The sequence below is a fragment of the Homo sapiens genome, chromosome 15, assembly GCF_000001405.40.
Source record: "Homo sapiens chromosome 15, GRCh38.p14 Primary Assembly".
Taxonomy (NCBI): Eukaryota; Metazoa; Chordata; class Mammalia; order Primates; family Hominidae; genus Homo; species Homo sapiens.
Window position 1 is genome coordinate 92572745 of NC_000015.10, and position 3217 is coordinate 92575961.

A 3217-nucleotide genomic window follows, 5' to 3' on the forward strand; every position below is an offset into this window, starting at 1 on the left:
TTGCAGAAGCTGGCTTTTAAGATGGAGGAAGAGGCCATGAGCCGAAGGATGCCGGTGGCCCCTAGAAACAGGAAAAGGCAAGAAAAAGGTTCTCCTCTAGAGCCTCCTGAGGAGCACAGCCTTGCCAACACTTTGAACTTTGCCAGTAGTTTGAACTTCTGTCTTCCAGAACTGTGAGATAATAAATCTGTACTGTTTTAACTCATTTATCTTGTGGTAAACTTGTAACAGCCGCCGTAGGAAGCTAATTCACCCTCATCCCTCACATTCACACCACAATCTCCTTCTTCTCACCGGCATTCCATCTCCTCTGCCTCCCAAGTCACAGAGCCCCAGGTGCCACAATGGCTGTGGAGTCTGCGGTGCAACCTCATTGCAAATATTTGTATGCTCGGAAGAAAAACACGAGTACAATGTCCTATATTTACGAGGACCTTACTACTCTTAAATCGCTGTCGTTCAAAAACAAAACAATTTTTTTCAGCGTGTTCTTATACGCCCATTACTGAGCTGGTCCCTGGGGATGCAAAGACACATGGACCTCATTGTTTTCCTCCAGGAATTCACTTGGAAAAAGAAACACGGGAGATGCTGCCTAGAATCCTTGATGCCTCCGAAGTTAGACTGGAGTTGGATTAACCCGGCCTCTCTCTGTGGAAATAGGAGATGGCTAGAAGAGTGACATCAATCAGCCACAACTGCTTCAGCCTCATAACGTCGGAGCAATGGTATCAGACTTGATGCAGAGACTACCCGGGCATATGTGGCTTTTTTTTTTTTAAATGTAGTGAAAAATTCCAAGTCACAGCCACAACACTGAACTATCAAAAGATCATTTCATGTTTTGGTTTGTATTAAATGCTCTTTGCACTTTGCTTTTGTTAGAGATGGCTAGAAAATTCTAGAAATAAGGAGTGCTAGAGAAGAATCACTGCTTAAGAGCAGGATCTCAAAGAATACATCCTTTGCCCCCTATATCCTCTCCCCTTTCTGATTCTCAAAAAGACACTTCAAACTGATAGATAGTCTTTATGTAGATGAATGGGACAAACTCAAACGTGAGAGTTGATCCTTTTCTTTTTTTTTTTTTTTTTTTTTCTCCAGATCCTGAGGAATTGCCATTAGGACCTGGAAACAAATATGTTGCGTGGAAGACTTACTGACAAAGGAACTTTTACTGAAGTCCTCCTCTAGTGCTGAATAGTGACTGCTGAAATGGCCAGACTGGCAACATATCAGGAGGCAAACTGGCATTCCTATTAGATGGAATGTCCAAGAAACCATACTTTTTTAATGGGGTTGAGGATTGCCTGCTTCTATAAGAAGATAGGTATTTTCTGTATCTAGCCAGGTGAGACCACACATTTAGAGTTATAAGACAGATTGACAAGATCAGAACTACAATTACAAGCTATCCACAAACTGTTGCAGAGGCAGACAATGTTTTCTGGATGCTTTCCTTAGCCTGAGTTTCTGAACCTACTACTATATGAAGGAGTACTGCCAAGACCTAGCCAAAAAACAAAAACAAAAAAGGCCCTGGTGGCTTCAAAGATTTTGACATTGAAAACTTGTCCCAGTACCTGAAACATACAATGTCATGTGTCAGCAAGCTCAGCCTGGAGCCCACACCTTGGCCATCTGCCCAGAATTCTCACCCCAGTTCTCTAAAACTCTACTCTTTCTTCTCGGGTGGACTACTTTTTGATCCCAAAGGGCAATGTTAATGGGGCTTTGATGCAACTGAGACATAGTCCAAAAAAAAAAAAAAAGGATACAGAGTACACAACACAAGAACTCTTAGAGGACACCTACTTCCAGATAGAAGAACTAAGTTCCTCATGTGTCCCCATAGAGATGCAACATTTTAGAAGAGAGTTTGAAGACCCAGCTGCCAATGGTCAATCACTGTCACATCGGAGGAGCTAGCAAAAGACACTACTAACAATTATGGGAATAAAAACTTCCTTGTTACTTTAAAGTTTTCAGATCATCTGTTAAAGCTGATAAGGCCATTGGCATCTATTCTGTTCATTGTACTCTGTCTCCTCTTTTACTTCCCTCCCAGTCCCTATCCTTTGCCAACTATATTGTTTACCAATTGTCTCCCAAGGGGGATGGGAGCAGTGGTTTCCCCCACATATATCTTTACAACTTTTCTTACAGCACCTCTTGGCATCCAGCCTCCAGAATTTGCTTCTCCTGCAGTGATTCTGCTAGTTCACTCTTCCTTGGAAAGACCACTGCCTTTGACTCTCAAAGTGGCAACAAATTTCTCCTTTCCCCCCATTTCATCTCAGCACAGGGCTCTCCATCAGTTTTAGAGGGAGCTGCAGGCATGGAGCAATTCAGCATGCTCACACCAGCAGCAGCATACAAAATCATTGACCATGAAGCCACCTGTTCCGAACACCATTGTCAAAACCAAGGACCCAAAGAAGTATAGCACACAGGCTTGCCCCTGGGTAAAATGGAAATGGAAAATGGAAATGTCACCAGTAGAGGACAGCCACACTACAGACTGAGGAATGGTGCACCGTGTGGGCTAGGGTTGGTCTGTGGAGAGAGGTGAGCCCTTTGACATGGGCTGGCTAGAAACGTCCTCATGAACAAGGAAAGATATATGACACGGGTGTTCGAGAAAAAGAGCGTCTCAGCAATAGACAGAAGGAGGAAGGAGAAAAGAGCATCCACAGCATGTTCAACAACATAGAAGACCTTTCCCAGGGATGGTAGGGAGTGTGTAGGAGAAATGGAGAAATGGAATGTAGAAAAGATCATAGGGGCCAGACTATGGTGAGTCTCCATAAGTTGAGCTAAAGAGATAAGACTTTATTCTGTTGGCAGTGGGGAGTCCTTGAAGGGCTTGAAAGCAGGGGTGGGGTGGTTCCACTACAGGAAGGTTAAAAAAAATGACTCCCACAGGGTCCATGGCATGGACAGGTAGAAAGAGGAGTCCGAAGGCAGAGAGACCGCAATGGGCTGAATGGTTGCCCGAAATAATTCATGTCCACCCAGCACCTCAGAATGTAACCTTATTTGGAAATGGAGTCTCTGCTAATGTTCCCACTTAACATGCGGTCATACCGGATTGGGGTAGACTCTGAATCCAGTGGCTGGTGTCTTCCTAAGAAGAGAAGACATGCAAAGAAGAAAAGAATGGAAGCCTCCTTCATAGGCTCCTCCAGAAGGAACCAACCCTGCTGGCACCTTGATT